Raw genomic sequence first — 18,417 nt, 5'->3', positions numbered from 1 at the left:
CAAACGTTCATTCTATTATTGGAAACCTGAAGAGATGAAAATATGACCTTTTCTGCCTCCTTGCTTCCAAAATAGTGACAAATGTGTTTTATATTTTTACAAGCTATATTAACAGAAGCGACTTCAAATGTGTGTGGCCTCCCGGGAGCTTGATGTTTTGATCTATCTTTTTTTGGCTGTTCTTTGGCATGGAGAAAAGGGACGCTTTTCTAGCAGGCCAGTGTCTATATGGTTTTGATATGGCCCAAACTTTGGCCAAACAAAGTCGTAACCCAGCCAGTCTCTCAAACCATATCTCTTACCCAACTCAGAGGTGCCCCTTCCAACCTAACTGCTGAGGCCTGACAGATACCAAAGAGGATCTTCAGAGACGCCAGAGGTCGGGTGCCATCCCTGGAAACGAGGAGAACAGAGTGCTGGAAAGAATCTTCCATTCTTACTTTTTTCCTCTGAGCCTTGATTTCCATATCTGAAATGAGGAGACTCTGCCTACTTCCTGGAGATTTGTGAGGAACAAAGAACTTTTGCACAGTACCTGATGTAGTAGGCACTTAATAAAAGAAGCTGGACAGATGATTGCCTTTCTCCACAATCACCTCAAGGGAAATACTAAAGCAGAAAAGTCATTCTATGGGGGCAGCTTCAGGGCAAATGAGGAAGGAGGCACTCTTCCCTTCTACTGCCTTGAAGGTAGCAACCACTGCCAAATGACTGCATGTCCATGGGGGTGCAGGCAGCTATGTCGCACTGGGTGGCAGCTACCCACATCCCACTGAGGCTCAGTGGGAAATAGCTACATGACCGAGGAGGAGCTTGATGGCAGGGACTTCTTTAAAAGCAGAAGCCTGGTCCACTTCAAGGAGCAAGTGGCCAGTGCCCAGGCAGCCCATGTCTGCATCCTTGGCTACTCTACAGCATAACTCATACAGCTATGGAGTGCGCCCTACGCACAGGCCCTGAACCAAGGGAGCAAATGAGGGCCAAAGCCCAGCCCATCCTCCATGCAGCTAGCCAGACTCCCTGGCTGGAGGAAGGAGGTGCCTCTCGAATTTTTATAAACCGCATAGGAACTAGTGGTGGCCAGGTGCTTCTTTGGAGTTTTTAAGACTGACTTTGAATCACAAAAAGAGTCTTTGCCTCCTTCCACCAACCTTACCAAGTCTCCCCTATTTGCTAGCCGACCAAGCCACAGTCCCTGCCTCGAGGGGCCCAGAGTCTGATGATGGGACAGACTTGGAAGTAAATGACTGCAGGACAGGATAACCCAGCTAGGACAAGTGCTTCTGGAGAGACAGAGGAGCAACTGCCCAGATCACAGGACCCATTATGGGCAGGGCGCAGAGGAGAAATCTTCATCAGAAAGATAAGGAAATGCAGCCAAATGAAAAGAGGGAATGAGAGGGAGCAAGAGGAAAGGAAATGCAGGGAAAGGAAGAAGAGAATAAAGAAATATTGCAAAAGATGAGATGAAAGTGAAAGAATGAAGAGGATCCCAGCCAGTATGAAGAAGCTTGTGAGTGTGTGTGTGTGTGTGTGTGTGTGTGTGCATGCGTGTGTGCACTTACACCAGACAGAGAAATATAGGGGTGGGGTACACTCTGCGCAAGGCATTGAGATGGTCACTTTATAGACCTTATCTCATTGAGTCCTTATAGCAATCTTGTGATCATTACTATTCCCATTTTACAGATAAGGAACTTAGATGGAAGCCAAAAGACCCAGCTGATATATGATGGAATCCACGCTGCCCCCAGTGTACCACAGGAGAGGCAGAGCTGTCCTTTGCTGCTGGTGACTCAGTCCCTCCAATGCCCCTCTTCGTCTTCCCCCTGTGTCAGGCTATTGGATCACTGCAGCACCCCCTGGAGCCCCGAAGCCATGGCCTCACCACCACAGTGACGATTTCAAATGCCAGCTCTGGCTGAGGCTAAGGTTGCTGGCATGAAATCAAGTCTGCCATTAGCACAATGTCCAGGGAACATTTGGGCAGCTATCTGTCCCTCTCAGCCCAGGTACATGGGGGTTATGTTGATTAAATAAATCTAATCATGGAAATAAACTGACCCAGGTGATGGGCACAGCACTCAGCTCCAAGTTACTGGTGATTGTCAGAAAATCCAATTAAGATAGAGCTGAGCCTACTGTGCTGCATACAGTTAATTGAGGGCAAGGGTAGGGGCTAAGGGGAAGCTAAGAAAGGAAATCATGTCTTAATATCCATTAAGTTAATCTCCCTCTTAAGCAGTGCCAGAGAGAGTCCAGGAAGAACCTAGAAGAGAATTTAATGGAAACTAGGTACCAGCCTGCTTTAACATTTTCTTGACATTCTGGCTGGGGGACATGTGACAGGCACAGGAGACAAGGACATGCAAGTCTATGTGTCATTTACGGAGCCACGGACTAGGACTGTGGAGGCCCAAGGTCAAATCTGTTCTGGGCTCCATCACCAATTAACCACTTGATATTTGACGCTGTCCTATCTGTGCCTTAATAAAATGGAGTGCTAGAACTGGACCAAAGCCACCTGGTGGCTCTGAAGACCTTCAGCAGGAGAGGGGGAGAAAATGAAAATACAGGAATTTGAGAAAAATCTACCAACGTTATCACAGTGAGCTTGTGTTTCGGCATTATGATACAGCACATAGAAAATGGGGGGTGGCTCAGGGCAGGGAGAGAATTTGTTTCTTTCCTTCGTCCATTTGAAACTTATTGAGCATCTATATGTTCCAGGTTACAGAAACAAATACTGCATGGTCCTCGACCCAGAGAAAATCTCTTATAGGCCATGGGAGGCTGAGAGGTGTCTGTTTTTCTTCCCAGTATATCCCCAACATTTAACAACAGGTTAATACTTAAATATAGTAGATTCTCAATAAATATGTGTTGATTAAATAAATAAACCAATTTAATTCAAGACAAGTAAACGGACACTTTCAAGGAAGCATTTTAAAGCTATAGGGGAGAGAAAAGTGGCCTGGGAACTCAAATATGCGGCCCTCACCCCTACTAGGGAAGCAGAAGGAGGGAGCATCCCGTCCAAAGCTTCCCAAGCGGCGCCGGACTGCGTGCTGCGGCTGTGGGGGTAGAAGTCTTCAGATAAAAGATGGGGAAAACAGACCAAAGCAAGTCTCGCTGGCCAGTGACACTCCAGGAGCATGGCCCATGGAAGGATCCAAGGCTGAGGGATCTGGGGTAGCCCCACAGAGATACTCTGCCAAAATCCAGTCACGAGAAGGAGGGAGGAGGCGAGGAACGAAAATGAGATTTGGTTTAGGCCGGAAGAACGGGCTGCGCCAACAACGAGAAAATAAAGTGGCGAGCTGGGAAGGGTGTAGCGCGGGCTAGAAGGGCGGGAAACTTGAGAACCACGGGCGCGGGAGCCTGGCGGGGACGCAAGCCCGGAACTGGCGGAGGGGTGGGCAGGCGCATGCGCGCGCGCAGCTGAAACGCCGGCTGATGAAACTGACAAAGGCGAGAGCGCGCAGCAGCCCACAGCAGCCGAGTTCGCGCCGCCGGTAGGTGCTGCCATGCCAGGGGGCGGGATCGTGGAGCGCCTCGCAGAACCGCACGAAAGCAAAAACAAAGCCATCTCTCCGGAGCAGAAATAGAACAGACGTGGCCGGGGAAAGCCAAATATTTGTGAGATGATGTGAACAAAGGGGGAAAAGTCAATCCAGGGAAGTTTGAGTTTCTGGTTGGAGGCTTCAGCGGCTCTGATCGCTGGATACTTTAAGAGAACATCCTTTGCCCCCGCTCTCCCTCTCTCCCCGAAGAAAAATAAATCCTTGGCAAAATGAGACTTGACGGCATGAAAAGAAGGTCTCCAGACTGTCCCAGCTGGCGCGGGCGGGGCCGGGGCCGAGGTGCCGCTTGGTGACACTGCAGCCGCGGCTCAGCACTGTCACCCAGAAAGGCCCGCCGACGTCTGTATGCAGGGAACGTGGCTCTTAGCAGAGCCTGGACAGGCGCAGGGCCAAGGAAGTCTTTGTTTTTGTTTCTTTCTCTAGCCCTTCCTGCCAATACATCAGGGATATAACTCCTTGGTGTTTCTGCCTTACAATCGCTCCTTATACCCCACCCAGATCCTCAGCACTGCAGCTCCCACTGCCACTGCCCGCTGTGAGTCACCTCCCCCTCTCCCTTTTTTAAACCAAACGGCAAGGCCATATTGCAGTTATCCATAAATGGAAAAGCAAGAAGCCACCAATACCTGTTTGAGAAGATGGCATTTTAATTAGCACACTCCGGCTGCCATAAACCCGGGCTCCTGCCCCACCTCTCCCCCCGCCCCCTCCTCCCCCCTCCCCCGCCGTGCCCTCTCTCAACCTCCCCGCTCACCCCCATCTATGTAAAAAAGCCATAAAGCCTCTCTCCAATCGCTTTCTCGGAGGGAGTTTTTGCAACCCCCACAACACAGGTTGATTGGAAAGGTCTCTCTCCCGGATAACAACAATTCAATGTGCCTTGACATTTTAATAGCCTGCCGTCCTGGTGAACACAATCGAGCAAGGCAGTGAAGCAAACATCATTAGGTAAGCAAGATAATCTAAGCGGAATCTGCCGCCTGCAGGCTCACATCTGGGGGCAGGTTGCACAGCTGGGCCGTCCACAAAGCTGGGCTCCTCCTGTCCTGCAGCGCCTTTGTATATGAATACCAATATATACACTTGTTTAGCTAGAGACACACACTTACAGGTTTTGGTAGATAAATACAGTCAGGCAAGTGTACCGACCACTGACGCCCCAACATGAAATAGCGTTAAGAGTACACAAATTTACCATGAATCAAAATATCCACCATCCCACCGAAGCTCCACCAAGATAAACGTACGGCTCTAAGCGCGGGTTTGCTATATCAAAGAGAACAAGGCAAATACTTGTTGGGATTCCTAATACCAACCATGTAAAGGCTTTTGATGCATATATATATGCCCCCTGAGTGCCCTAGGCTGGTATTCTCCTGCGTGCCGTTGTCCAACTTGGCTCTGGTCATATGGCTTTTGGGCTTGAAATGGTGCGACCTACCTTATTTTCTATTGTTATCTAAAGGAATGCATATATATGCGTTCATTTATGTAAATATTTTGAATATAATGCCATGGCTAGACATATAATTTAAGCATAATATATAACATAAAATATTTATACTTATGTTTGCAGGGAACTGCTATTAATGCTTCACATCTAATAACTCATTTAATCCTCAAATTGTAGGTACTGTTATTATCCCCACTTTACAGATGAGATAACTGAGGCACAAAAGTTTGAAGCAGCTTGCCCAAAGTCATCTTCTAATAAGTGGTGGAGCCAGGATTTGAATCCAAGCAGTCTGGCTCTAGAGTCCAGTGTATTATCCATTAAGTTATGCTGTTTCATAAAAAGTAAAGCACACAAGTAGATATAAAATGTGTTGCATGTCTTCATAAGGTCAGTGCATTCTATTATGAATTTATATATTTATGTACATGCATAACACACACATGTTCGTGTGAACTGTCAAAAGGTGCAAGGAAGTATGTCTGACTTCTTTTTAACATAAACACCTGCCTGCACTTGTATATTCAGCCATATTCATGTATTGAGCATCTTGTGAGTCCCTAAGCCATGTGCTGGGGTACTGAGGATACAATAATTAATTAGACACAATGGCCACCCTCAAGAACTCATCACCTATGGGGGAGTCAAACAAGTAAATAGATGCTTAACCTTGAGGGTGATAGGTTAGAGGCTGACACAGAGCTGCAGAGACTAGGATGGCCCCTTCCCCCACCCATCCCCACCCTCCTGACATATCTTGCACCAGAATCTTCCAGGGAAGCCACACACTTATTCCCATGAGGTTGTCATCACTCAGAACATGTTGAGGGTTCCCTTTGGGAATTGCCTTCTAAACCATTTTATAAGCTGCCCAAGAAAATGATTCTTGTTATTTAATAATTACATATAATATGCACACTCACACCCCTTTCTTAGGAAGGAGGCAGAAGTGACATCACAAAACCCAGGGACCAACAGATGATAGAAAATTCTCCTGTTGGAGTCCAACCCTCCCCAGCTGGTCCATGCCCCTCCCTCTCCTGCACACAAGTCCCCCAGCATAGATCCCGTTCCCTGGATGCTGACTTGGCAAGCTATTCACTTTATGAATATGACCCTCAGAGGGGAGAGCCCCTCTCAGCAGCCCCCGAACTATGTTATCACCATTATTAAGGAGCTTAAAGAGGAGCTGGGAGGACAAGACACCGCTGGAATTGCAGCCTGATTGTGATTGATGTGTTCCTATTAGCGCCTCAGTGTTATCTCTCTGGATAGCAACAACAGCCAGTGGCTTGTAACACAACAGATTACCTGAGTTCTCAGCCTTAGAAGGATGTTTAAATAAAATATAGTCGCTCTTAGCAAGAGGCTCATTTTCTCCACGAGGCTCCCGGACTATTTCATGTCAGCTCTGATTCGCTGCGACTCTCCTCAGTAAACATGTCTTATCATTAATAATTCTTTACAAGCACAATCTCCAAGAGTCCTCTCTCTCTCCCTCTTTCTCTAGGTGGCTGGACTCAGACACATCACGCTCCAGTTTGGGTTCCAAGGTGCTTCTCTCTGGATTTTCACCTGCCTTGCCAAAAATGATTGATTACGCTGGGCCAACTGGGTGTCCGGCAATACCCAACAAATGACTTTGGCCCCTAACAGCAGGTCTTGGCCAGACAGAAATCAATATTTCACCATTAAAATCTATCAAAGAAGAGTTAAGGCACCATCTGTCCCTGCCGCCTCTCTATGGTGTGTGAACATTAAATCCGACACTTGTACTACATGGGTAATCAATATATAGTGGTTCACAGATCATTTGTGGTTCCCTTTTAGCAGTGATGGATGTCTGGAATCGTTGTGATTCATTTTGTCAGACCATTAAACAAGATTCTGTCCAGTTCCTTCCTGATTTCATTTAGAGGATCATTCTTCACAGTTCATAAGAGGGAAACGGTTTTACCAATCTGCTTCTATTTCAATAAGTCACTTTATAGAGATTTTGTGTCCTCCAGACTGTAAAAATTCTGGAGAGATAGTACAAACAGACCTCTAAAACTATTCACTGCATGACATATGCATAAAGTGTGAAGAGAGGAATGTAAATATGTTTACCTCTTTATCTGCAAATGTTGGTTTTAACCCCCTCCTAGCTGGAGAGCTGGCCAGGGTACTCCAGGCATCGGCCTGCTATAGCAAGAGGCAGCTAAAGTTTGGTAACTGGAGGCTAATTTACAGGGATGACGAAAATCCCCTGACTCCTCATGAGCATGGTGGAAAGCAAATGGGAATGGCTCTTCCAGGGGCCACATTTTAGAGACTTTCATTTCTATAGTCAAGATGTCCTTGCCCCTCATGCAAATGGTTGGCAAAAGCCTCTGCACTCCCAGGCAGCATGCTGACCCAAGAGAAGCAAGACTGACCTTGCCCTTGAGGGCAGGAGTGTGGATGACCAGGAAGGTCTTGCATGCCAATATGGCTACCATCTGTGAAGCACCAACCTATGTCAGGCCCCATACTTGCACAATTCTTGCCCTTAACAATCCTGAGAGATAGGTACTATTATCTCCACTTTCCAGTAAGGAAACTGAGACTCAAAAAAGTTAAATAACCTGCCTAAGATTATTCTAGTCAGGGAAAGTAAGAGTCAGGACACAAACTTAGGCCTGTCTGATGCCAGCCTCCACATTGAACTGTAGTCAGATCTCAGCTGGTGGCCATTAATCTGCAGATGATTTTGTTTCAACCCAAGTGAATTTCCTTTAATGCTCCTGGATGTCTTACTTGCATCAACCAACTATGGTGTTACTAGGAAACAGAATTTTATTCTATCCTTATTTTAAGTAAATCTACAGTAAGATCACTAAATTATGCACTCCAAAACGAAACACTGGATTTTAAACTATTTTCTGTTTTGGGATTATTGGGCAATTACTTCACTGTTGCTGATATTAGTGTAGATAAGTAGATGTCGATTTAACTATTAACATAAGTACATATACATATACGTACAGACTTACACACATAATTTATATATAATTATTGTATGTCACATAAATATATATAACTTAAAAGATCTTAGAGATAATTTAGCTTTTCCTTTTTTTCTATGCTTTTAAAATAAAGCAATGGAGGCTCAGCAGGACTAAAAAGCTGGTCCAGGGACAAGAATCTTGTTTTCTGATTCCCAAGTCAAAATGCTTTACCAAAGAATTATAAGTAATAGAACATTACACAATTATGATTTTTTTGGTTTCATATTTGTTGAGGGGATGAGTGGAGAGAGTTGTATTCATTTTGCAGTTTACAGAACAGGAAAACGGCCAGTGCATTCTTACTTCCATTTCAGTTCACTGACTACTATGCCATCCTGCCTGGAGATGGGCGTTCCTTTAGATAACAATAGAAAATAAGGTAGGTCGCACCACTTCAAGCCCAAAAGCCATATGACCAGAGCCAAGTTGGACAGCAGCACGCAGGAGAATACCAGCCTAGGGCACTCAGGAGGCACATGGCATGGCAGAGAGAGCTTGGACTAGGCTTTAGAAAGATTAGGCAAAAAAATCCATCTGTGCTCCTGTGTCATCTCAGACAAGCCACTTAGCCTCTCTGACTGCCTTTTTCCTTATCTGTAACACTGAAGCTAATTGCACCTACGTCAAAAGATAATTGCAAGGATTAAATAAGACAATACAAATTTCAGCACAGGTCCAAGCACAATCCAGGTTAGTGCCCTTTCTTTTTCCCTTCCTTCCTCCCTGACCTTATTTCATAAATGTGTATTATACCATATTTCAGTCTCCAGTAACAACCTGTAATGGGATCTGCCACATAAGAATTTATCTAAGTCTTTCTTGATTCTAGAAATATTAAACCTAAGAATTAAACAGAGAATTGCAAGGTCTTTGGTTCAACCATTGACCCGGTGCAGAAATCACTTCCAGCACCTGCCTGATGGGTCATTTTCAATGACCAGGAGCTCAAGATGTCTAAATAAGTCTGCCTCATTGCTGGACAGTTTCTTAATGATAAATTTCCTGCTAAACCTGCCTCCATGTAAATTCTATCCTTTAGTCCCAGTAATAACTCCAATCCATAACCACCTCATGTTCCACATAATTTAATAGAATGAAAAGAAATGTTCCCTTTAATTTGTGTTCAAACTATCTTCTTGAAGCATTTTGATGATTTCACTAGAATATAAGAGGTCTGTGACTGTGCCCAAGTTGGCATTATGCATGTCTTTCTATGTTAGCTTTGAGCACATCCCAGCTCATATTGAGTGTGGTGAAAGAGTTTTGTTTCTGTTTTTGTTTTTTCTCTCTCTTTCATGGACCTCACCCTGGTCCTTGCACTCTTTGGGGTCTTGCTGTCTCTACAGTTCTGTTTTTGAGTGTGAAACCTATAACTGCTCCGAGCATTTCCAATTAAATTTTATATTCAGTTTTCATTCATCTATTTCTTTCTTTTCATTCTTTGCTCTTCCTAACCATTTTTCTCCATCCACCTGTTTTTCCATCACAAATATCCCAATCAAGGCAGAAATGCCAATCTATACTTTGTATTTGAATAATGCACCTTAATAATAGGATGAAATGAAGTCCAGCTCTAAGAGCAAGGTCAGCCTCAGCACCTGTTGAGGCAGCTATTGTGCACCTTCAGCAATGATCTGCAGACATCAGCATAAAGCCCCTGTGAGCAGGCTAATATCCACTCCAGGATCTCAGGGCATACCATGGTCTCTCAACTATTCCCACTATTCACGCACTCCAAAATTACTAGTGCCTGCTTTGCCTGGTTGCCTAGTTCTGCGATTACTCTGTGGCACTGAGGTTAATCTTGTGGGCCCTACTCAGGTCTGACTCTTCCAAATCCCACTTATTGCTGAGGTATCATGTTCCAAATGTTAATATCTCAAAATGCCCATTTTTGCTGCTAGGTTTCTTGTCTGTTTGTAGACCTCTGAATCCAGTGTCTTTGGTCATACTTGGACATATACAAATTTCTTCTTGTAAATGTGGCCTAATTAGGGAGAAAAAATTCTGCACTAGTTCTTTTCAAAAGTCAGTTCTATACACATCCATTCAGGTAAAATTGCACAAGCTCACCCTTGACCAGGGGCTGCTTGAGCCATACTCAATTAGAGGTCAGCCAAGACACAAGCACACCTGCCTGGCACATGCCTGTGCCCATCTGATGTGTACTAGCAGCTGAGCATGCAGCAATCACATACACACACACATACAGTCTGAGGTCTGAAAACCACTAACCTAATCCCTCTCCCTCTCTCTGCTCAGGCATAAGCAGAACTACTTCTGATGGAATAGGTTACACATTCCTAAAGATTTCCCGGTATTCCAGATATTCTCTCACTCTTTGTCCCAAGATCAAACAGTATACACCTCTCAAAAGTTTCTTTCAGAGCCAACTTTGGCCCATCTTGCTGTAATTAAAGCCCATCCTAGGGGCTTACAATTTTTGCTTATTTATTTATTTATTTATTTGAGACAGAGTTTTGCTCTTATTTCCCAGGCTGGAGTGCAATGGCGCCATCTCAGCTCATTACAACCTCTGCCTCCCGGGTTCAAGTGATCCTCCTGTCTCAGCCTCCTGAGTAGCTGGGATTACAGGTGCATGTCACCATGCCTGGTTAATTTTTGTATTTTTAGTAGAGACCGGGTTTCATCATGTTGGTCAGGCTGGTCTCGAACTCCTGACCTCAGGTGATCCACCCGCCTCAGCCTCCCAACTTACCAGGATTACAGGTGTGAGCCACCACGCCTGGCCTAATTTTTGCTTCTTTATGAACTCTTCTTCTTAATAATAACACTCTTAGTTATATACCTACCATTTGTGAGGCATCATATTGGTTACCTTGTGAGATTATTTTATTTAGTTCTCATAGCAGCCTTTTGCAAGATAGATTTTATTTTCTCCATTTTGAAATGAGAAACTAGAACCATGAGAGGTTTAGTAATCCACATGATATCATACAGCTAATAAATGACAGAAGGAGGCGCAAACTCTGGCCAGACTCCATCAGCAGAGCTACTAATACTAGGCTATATTTTTATCAGGAAAAAAAATAGAGTTAAATATATTCACCTTACAATTGTAGTGAGATCTACATACAGAGTTCTGGAAGCAGAATCCAGGCCTCATTAAAAATCTTCACAGCTATTAATTACCTTTACCTGACTTAGCCCCCAGATCATGTCCTGTTATCTAAATATCGACAATAGTTTTTCTAATTGCACTTTAAACTCCTGATGAAAGGAGTCAGTTAGCCTATAAGTAAGTCATTGTGCAAAAGGGACACAAGACTTAAATCTCTTCTTTCAACTCAGAGCCACAGAAGAACAGAGCATCAAGAAAGGGATCAGAGCATTTCACCTCTTCTGGTCCACATGCTCTTTGGCCAGCAAGGATTTGGGAACCATGCTGAAATTAACCACCCAATGGTGAGGAAGGAAGATGGGTGGCTAAACCAGCCCTGGAAGCCTGCACAGCAGGAGACTGCTGCAGGAGACTGCTGCACAGCAGGGCCTCGTTCATGGGTGACCTCTTCAAACCACCAGAAGCTGTGGCCAAGAGGACGAGCCTGACTTATGGTGCCCTTACACTCCAGGGAAAGGGGTGCAGGGTGCCAGGAGGAATGTTAGAACTAGGAGACTCAGCTAGTGGTTATCAGCTGGGGTGGGGCATAGGATCTCCCTGGAGGGCATTCAGACATGTGACAGTGAGTTGTTGCAATGACTGAGGGTGCTGTGGGTAGTTAGTGGGCAGGGAAAGTTCTAAGTGTATTCTAATGTGTGGGACAGTCCCATGCAATGATGAATTGCCCATTCAAAATGCCACTGGGACCCCGATGACTGAGTCTCTTTTCTAAATTTATAGATGAGGAAGGATTTCAGTGAATCTCCTGGAAGAGATCTAGAGAAAATTTTTTCTACCCAGTGTTGTCAGTGCAAATTCAGCTCCTCCAGGAAAACATTTTATGAAGGTTGTTACTTCCTCTTAAACTCATCAAGAGGGCTGCAGCTTCTACAAATAGAAAGGGAAATGGTATTCATTAAAGTTATCAAATCCTGCATTAAATATAATAAAGACAATCTCATTTCCTCTGGGAAAATGAAAAATCTGTGAATCAGATGGCAATGGAAGAAAGGAAACTGAGGCTCAGAGGGGTTGAGTAAGCTGACTAAGGTCACACAGCTCATCTGTGACAGAGGCAAGATGCCAACTCAGCTGTCCCAGGCAGAAAATCGCACAGTCCTTCCATGGAGCCCTGTGAGGTCAGCCAACACCCACTGGGTGCCTCAAACCACGCCTCAGGTCTTCTGAAGGCTCTGCCAACCTGGAGCAAAATGAAGAGAGGCAAAGTTCATCTGAGAGCCTTCTCTCCTCATGTGGTTCCCTCAGCTTCATCCCTTTACCACCTGACTTGGCCAGTAGAACCTGGTTCTCGATTGCTGCTGCCAGGAGCTTTGCTTTTGATGCAAAAAAACTTGAATATATAAGAAAGGAAGTTCCTGTGGTGGAACGGGAGTGGGGAAGGGCATTACTGCTAAGGAGAAAACCTTTCTACAACTATCACCATTTTACAACTTTCCCTTCCATAAGCTAGCCTTTGGGACCTGTTGAGGAAATTTCCAGGTGTGGCTTTGTGCTTCTGACCAACTCTGAAGCCTTCCACTTTATTTCTAAGTGGCTTTGAACCATCAGGACAGCAGGGAGGGGAATTATAGTGAGGAGAGATCTGGGGTAGGGAGGGGAAATGGCACTTCAGTGTGGGCTCTGAGACCTGCAGAAAAACAGGAAAATGAAAAAGAACAGTGCCGATAAGATAATGGCTCATCTTGGCAATTTTTAAAATTCTGATGTATTTACCAGAAAGTGGTTGGACTGAAATTTCCATTCTATCATTTCCCAGCTTGTGGCCTTGAACAACTGCCTTAACATTGCTGAAACTCAATATCTTCATTTGAACAAACAGAGTGGTGATTTCCACCCCACAGTGGTGTTGTTCAGAATGAACATGAAAATAAAGCAGCGAGCATGTAGTCGGCTCTCAGTAAGTAGAAGCAGCTATGACTGATTTGCTGGAAAATGGACTGCACAACATGGCTTTACATAGAAGAGTGCAAAAGAGCTCATCACCTCCAAAGCTCTGACTCTGCTTTAGGGGAAGAAGACTGTCAATCTATTCTTCCCCTAAACAGTAGGTGGGGGTGGGGAGAAGGAGCAAGGAGGGGAGTTTTCAGGGTAACAAGACTAATCAGGATTTCACCATCAAAGCAAATATATCCAATTAGCAGCTATTAAAGAAGCATTTTCTGGCACTGTGCACAACGAAGGCCATTCTACCTAGCAGAAATTAATCTTAATTATTGGTACCTGCACACATACGTGCAAAGGGAAGCAACTCACATTAATCTACATTAAACTTAATAGCAGTCCGTGTATTATCTACTCTGAGTCAAAATTGACTGCTGGCCCCTGTGTAGATATCTGCAGTGCTAACTCAAGTAATTACAGAGCAGTGGGTCTCAAAGACACAATTTGTTCCCTATATAATAAATCAGCTACTAGAAGCTTTTTATAATTAAAAACCAAAAGAAAAAAAATAGAACTGTATAGGCAAATGTCATTTTCTTCTAAGGGAAATTAGGGAAAAGAAAAGCGTGTCTCCTTCTTGCCTAGTCTGAAAGGGGAAGGAAATACATGTCTCTGATGGATTCCTAAACAAAGAGAGAAATAAATACAGTGGTAGAGTTTCAGAACTATGGAAAAGAATGTTTTTATAATCTTAAATTTAAGGTTTCTAAGAGGCCTGATATTCCTTTCCAAGAAGACCAATAAGGCTGTCTTGGAGAAATGCTTTATATGAACTGGAATTTTCATTAGTATGGGACAAGGTGGAAGGCCAAGTTGATTATATTAAATTCCACCTAGCAGGACCCGTTGAATGACCATGAGGTCAAGGAAAATGATGACTATGTTTGCTTCCTCCCTGCTGCCCACCACCCTTCCTATGAGAACATCATGCATGGATTCAATGCATCAATTTTTAGAGGTTACCCTCCCTTCCATAGCTCTCTTTCACTTTTGTCACCTCTGCCTCCAGAAACCATGGGCCCTCTCCCCAGAAACCATGAGCCCTCCCTCTACCTCAACCACTCCAGCAAGTTAGGGCTTCTCAGCTGCTTAGAATCCTGCATCTACTGGTGCTGTATGACCAATGAGGCTATCTAGTCCTACCTTAACCCCAGCCAACATTTCCTAAGGCGTGACTTGCCTGCCCCCACTGGAATGGAGATGATTAAGCAATTCTCAGATAACACCCCGACTTCATTTGCTAAGAGTTTGCCTGCAGGCACACCATGGTCATGTTCCACATCAGGAAGGCAGCCCACCTAACCTACTGCAGTTGGGACACAAGATTGCCCAAACCAGATCTTCCCTGACTAGCCGCCTGCCCCTACATCTCCTAGACTGCAGCTCATCCCAGTGTAGAGCCCTTCCTAATCCTCTACCTCCATCCTGCCTTTTCTCAACTCTCACCTCTGGTAGTCCCCCAACTGAGCCTGCCTTCCCTCAACCCACCCAGCACCCCTCCCGGGTCCCAGCCATGGTAGCCATGTTCCCCCATTCAGTTGTATGTACAATTGCAAGTAGAAGGTGCCTCCCAGGATTGTGCAACTCGGTGGCCCAGATAACCCTTTGGCACTCATCACCACCAGCTTGGCTCCATCTTGGTTCTACACCCTGGGCCTCCTCCAGCTTGCTGGTTCCCTTTGCTCAGGTATGAACCTGCTCTCAGTCTCCAGGACTCCTCTAGCCAAAGCCCTTCCCAAGCTCTCATCCCCTCACTGGAGGAATCTAAGTCAATCTCCGATCCCCCTGGGATTCTTTCCTCCTGATCGCTGGTCCAACCTTTCTCCATCAGGTCAAACCTCCCTTCCAGATCACAAACCCCAGATATCTTCCCTCATCCCAGCCTTAGTGTTTTCCCCATCCCTGCTCTCTAAGCTGTGTATAGCTCTTGCTGCCTCCTCCCACCTCTTAACCCTGACTGCTTTATTCTCTATTATCTGATAGTATCATTTAATGCAATTTTTAAATTAAAAATCATGTACATGTTCCCTGTAGAAATTTTGGAGAATACAGGAAAATAAAGAAAGGCAGGTGTTTACTACTCAAGCCTTCTTTTCGGGACATATGGCATACATGCAAATTTACAAAATAGGTGTGGAATTGATACTGATTTTTTAAATGATTTTCATTCTATTTTTTCAATAAATAACATGTATGTGCCCTAGTCTGTCAGCATCCCGCCCCAGTGGCAACCAATGTTATCAGCTTGTTTTGTACTTTCTAGCAATAGTTCATTCACTAACAAGTATATATGAATATAAATGCAACTTTTCACACAAATGATGGGATCCATCACACTTTTTTACAACTTACTATTTTCACTTAAATATTAGAGGTTATATCATAGACATAGATCTGCACCAGCTTCCCTTTTAAATCTATCTATTTAATTAAAACAGTGTATAAATAACAACACCGTTGGAGTTATGGCATAGCAACAATCGTGAGAAAGGTATTTGGCCATTGAAGTTCATATAGAAATTTTAGGAAAAAAAAACTACCAACTTAGGAAACACTGTTCTGTCTTGTTTATGATTCTGCCTGCTCTCCTGACCACCCAACCTTATTAATAAGTGGCCCTCCAGACCTGCTTGAATACCTCTAGTAATGGGGAACTCACTTCCTCAGGAGGAGGAATAAATATATTTAAAAGGGAAGCTTTTAGATGATGAGACCCTCATCCTGAACACTGTGGGAATTCTTTAGCTTTTAAAATCTATTTCATCCATTTGGACACTGAATAGCGAACACTTGACATTGTTTCTTAACCATCTCATAGGACGTGGTTTTTAATTCAATTTTGACTTAACTTTGCCTTTTAACTTAATTTTGAGTTTCTGAAAGGCAGAGACCAAGGCTTGGTTTTCTCGTGCACCCCTTTCCAGTGCCTGCCATGGTGCCACCCACACTGCCCCCACAGAGTACGTCCTTATCTTTGAGCCCTCGGTGAGCTCAGCACTTCTTCCAGACAGCCTTTCCTAACACCTCGCCCCCAGAATTTCTCCAGTTATTGTAATTGTCTCTCTGTGATCTGTATTCTTCATTGCTCATGCAAAGCCTACCACTAGTTTTCAAAAACATATACTTATTTGGTGAGTAAATAAACAAATAAATGAGGAACACACTTTTTTTTTTTTTGAGACGGAGTCTCGCTCTGTCGCCCAGGCTGGAGTGCAGTGGTGCGATCTCGGCTCACTTCAAGCTCCACCTCCCGGGTTCACACCATTCTCCTGCCTCAGCCTCCCGAGTAGCTGGGACTACAGGCACCCACCACCACACCCAGCTAATTTTTTTGTATTTTTTAATAGAGACAGGGTTTCACCGTGTTAGCCAGGATGGTCTCGATCTCCTGACCTCATGATCCACCAGCCTCGTCCTCCCAAAGTGCTGGGATTACAGGCGTGAGCCACCACGCCTGGCCAACCTTTTCTTAAAAGACAGTGATGACAGAATAGTGTCAAATTTCTCAAGGGGACCTTGTAGAATCTAAATACAAGGAGAGTTTCTCCCAAGATCCCTGGGATGCTGACAGGGCTACCACTTGCTGTGTTTAACATCCCTAGGGCTCCATTTATGAAGCACCTAATCATGATAGAACATTCAGAAACACAAAGTTGGAAGCTAGGCGTCAAGGCCGTGCAAACTCCATGAAATCAGGTGCCAGGAAGGGTTCTTAGAGAGATTTCAGAAAAGTTATTGAGGGGCAGAAGGAAGAGAATTAACATTTCTGTGCTCCCATTTGTGCCAGAAATAGAGTTTGAAGTTAAAGATGAACTTGTCCTCTAGCAGAGAGGAAGAGAGGAGTCCTGAAATCAGCCCTGAAGAACACTCGTCTTTCCCGCCCTTCCCACCCAGAAACTGCACCCAGCTCTAAATTGGAATTATCAGCCAATCCACCTACAACTATTTCCTAAGAACCTATGAGTTAAAAAAAGACCTGGACCATATCTCAACACTCTTCTTAGCAACATACAAACACATTTACATGAACATCAAAACAATACTGTAAATGAAACGCCTCTATAAAATGTTCATACAAGATTCTTGTGGTAGAAGAAGCACGGACACCAAAGAACAAAACATTTGAATGCTAGCTTCTCAGCCACGTGACCTCTGGCAGTTTACTTCACCTCACTAAACTTTATCTCTGCAATGGAAATAAAAATGCCACCCCATATGTGTCATGTGTAAGGATAAAAAGAAATGTAATGAGATTATGTATGCAAAGGTGGGCAGAAAATGCACGTGGACTGTAGAAGGTGCTGGGCTGGAAATGGGGCACAGAAAGAGAGAAGTCCGAAGGAGCCAGAGGGAGAGGTCGTCTGGCGGTGCAAGGGAGCACACTTGACATATCCATAATTGTTCATTCATCCTGTTATTCTTGTCACTCCACAAATATTCAGGGAGCATATACAAATGGGGAACAAGTCAGACACAAGGTCTGCCCTCATGGAGCTGACAGTTTAACAGGGATACAGATGCTTAAAGAAATGATGTGAATTCAGCTCAGTGCTCTGAGACACGAGGGAGAGTTGGGACATGTCATGGAGCTGACAGTTTAACAGGGATACAGATGCTTAAAGAAATGATGTGAATTCAGCTCAGTGCTCTGAGACACGAGGGAGAGTTGGGACATGGGAGTGGCTCCTCATTCAGACAGGTGGGTGTAGAGAGACTTGTTAGAGGCCAGTGACATCTCAGCTTTCAGAAGCAAGTAGAGTCATCCAGGTTGGTGGGGTGGGGAAGAGGAGATGGGATTTGAGCTTTGTAGGAAGGCTTGCATCTCAGGCCTGCGCTCCCCCAGAGAGTGAGGGAAAGAAGTGACCAGAAGACAGCCTCATAAGCCATGATCATGAGTCTGACCCACATGGTAATAATCACCATAAGGTTTCAAGTGGGAGAGTGACACACATGGTCAGATTTGCATTTCAGTAGCAGATTTGGGTGGAGCAGGGCAAGATAGCCAGGGAGACAAGTAAGGAGAGAGTTGCAGGAAATAAAGAAAGGTAGAGAGCATTGGACACTACAGAAAGCAGAATATTACTCAAAGTGCTCATGAGAGATCGGAGTTAAAGGTAGGGTGAGGAGGCAGTCAATGGTGGCCCCCAGGTGTCTGGCTGAGGCAGCTAGGTAAATGGTGGGACCATTGACTAATATGAGGTTTTGGAGAAAGATCTTGAGTTTAGCTTTGGATATATCAAGATCGGGGTTCCTGAGAGATATCCAAGT

The 18,417-nt window shown here is 44.6% G+C and overlaps 2 long non-coding RNA genes across 4 annotated transcripts in view, besides 2 other annotated features; both read left to right on the top strand.

Annotated features, from left to right (window-relative positions):
• The window catches only part of LOC105373578 (uncharacterized), a 38,616-nt gene extending 36,719 nt beyond the window's left edge, over positions 1-1,897 (top strand). For all 3 annotated transcript variants that reach the window (XR_923249.3, XR_923250.3, XR_001739664.2), the window contains exon 5: positions 1,690-1,897. This is a non-coding gene — a long non-coding RNA (uncharacterized LOC105373578). The remainder of the gene's footprint in view (positions 1-1,689) is intronic.
• Positions 3,130-3,179: an enhancer, noted in NCBI's record as "active region_16444". NCBI's record gives its function as "activates an Ori minimal core promoter by ATAC-STARR-seq in GM12878 lymphoblastoid cells {active_cell/tissue: GM12878}" and the evidence as "EXISTENCE:reporter gene assay evidence [ECO:0000049][PMID:35858748]".
• Positions 3,320-3,499: an enhancer, noted in NCBI's record as "active region_16443". NCBI's record gives its function as "activates an Ori minimal core promoter by ATAC-STARR-seq in GM12878 lymphoblastoid cells {active_cell/tissue: GM12878}" and the evidence as "EXISTENCE:reporter gene assay evidence [ECO:0000049][PMID:35858748]".
• Positions 3,484-6,948, top strand: THORLNC (testis associated oncogenic lncRNA). Its single transcript, NR_144530.1, has 3 exons — positions 3,484-3,639; positions 4,480-4,532; positions 6,548-6,948. It is a non-coding gene; the product is annotated as a testis associated oncogenic lncRNA (long non-coding RNA).
• The last annotated feature ends 11,469 nt before the right edge of the window (positions 6,949-18,417 follow it).

The sequence above is a fragment of the Homo sapiens genome, chromosome 2 (genome assembly GCF_000001405.40).
Source record: "Homo sapiens chromosome 2, GRCh38.p14 Primary Assembly".
Classification (NCBI taxonomy): domain Eukaryota; kingdom Metazoa; phylum Chordata; class Mammalia; order Primates; family Hominidae; genus Homo; species Homo sapiens.
Note: the sequence above shows the minus strand (reverse complement) of the source record. Positions and strands in the feature narration are given on the sequence as shown.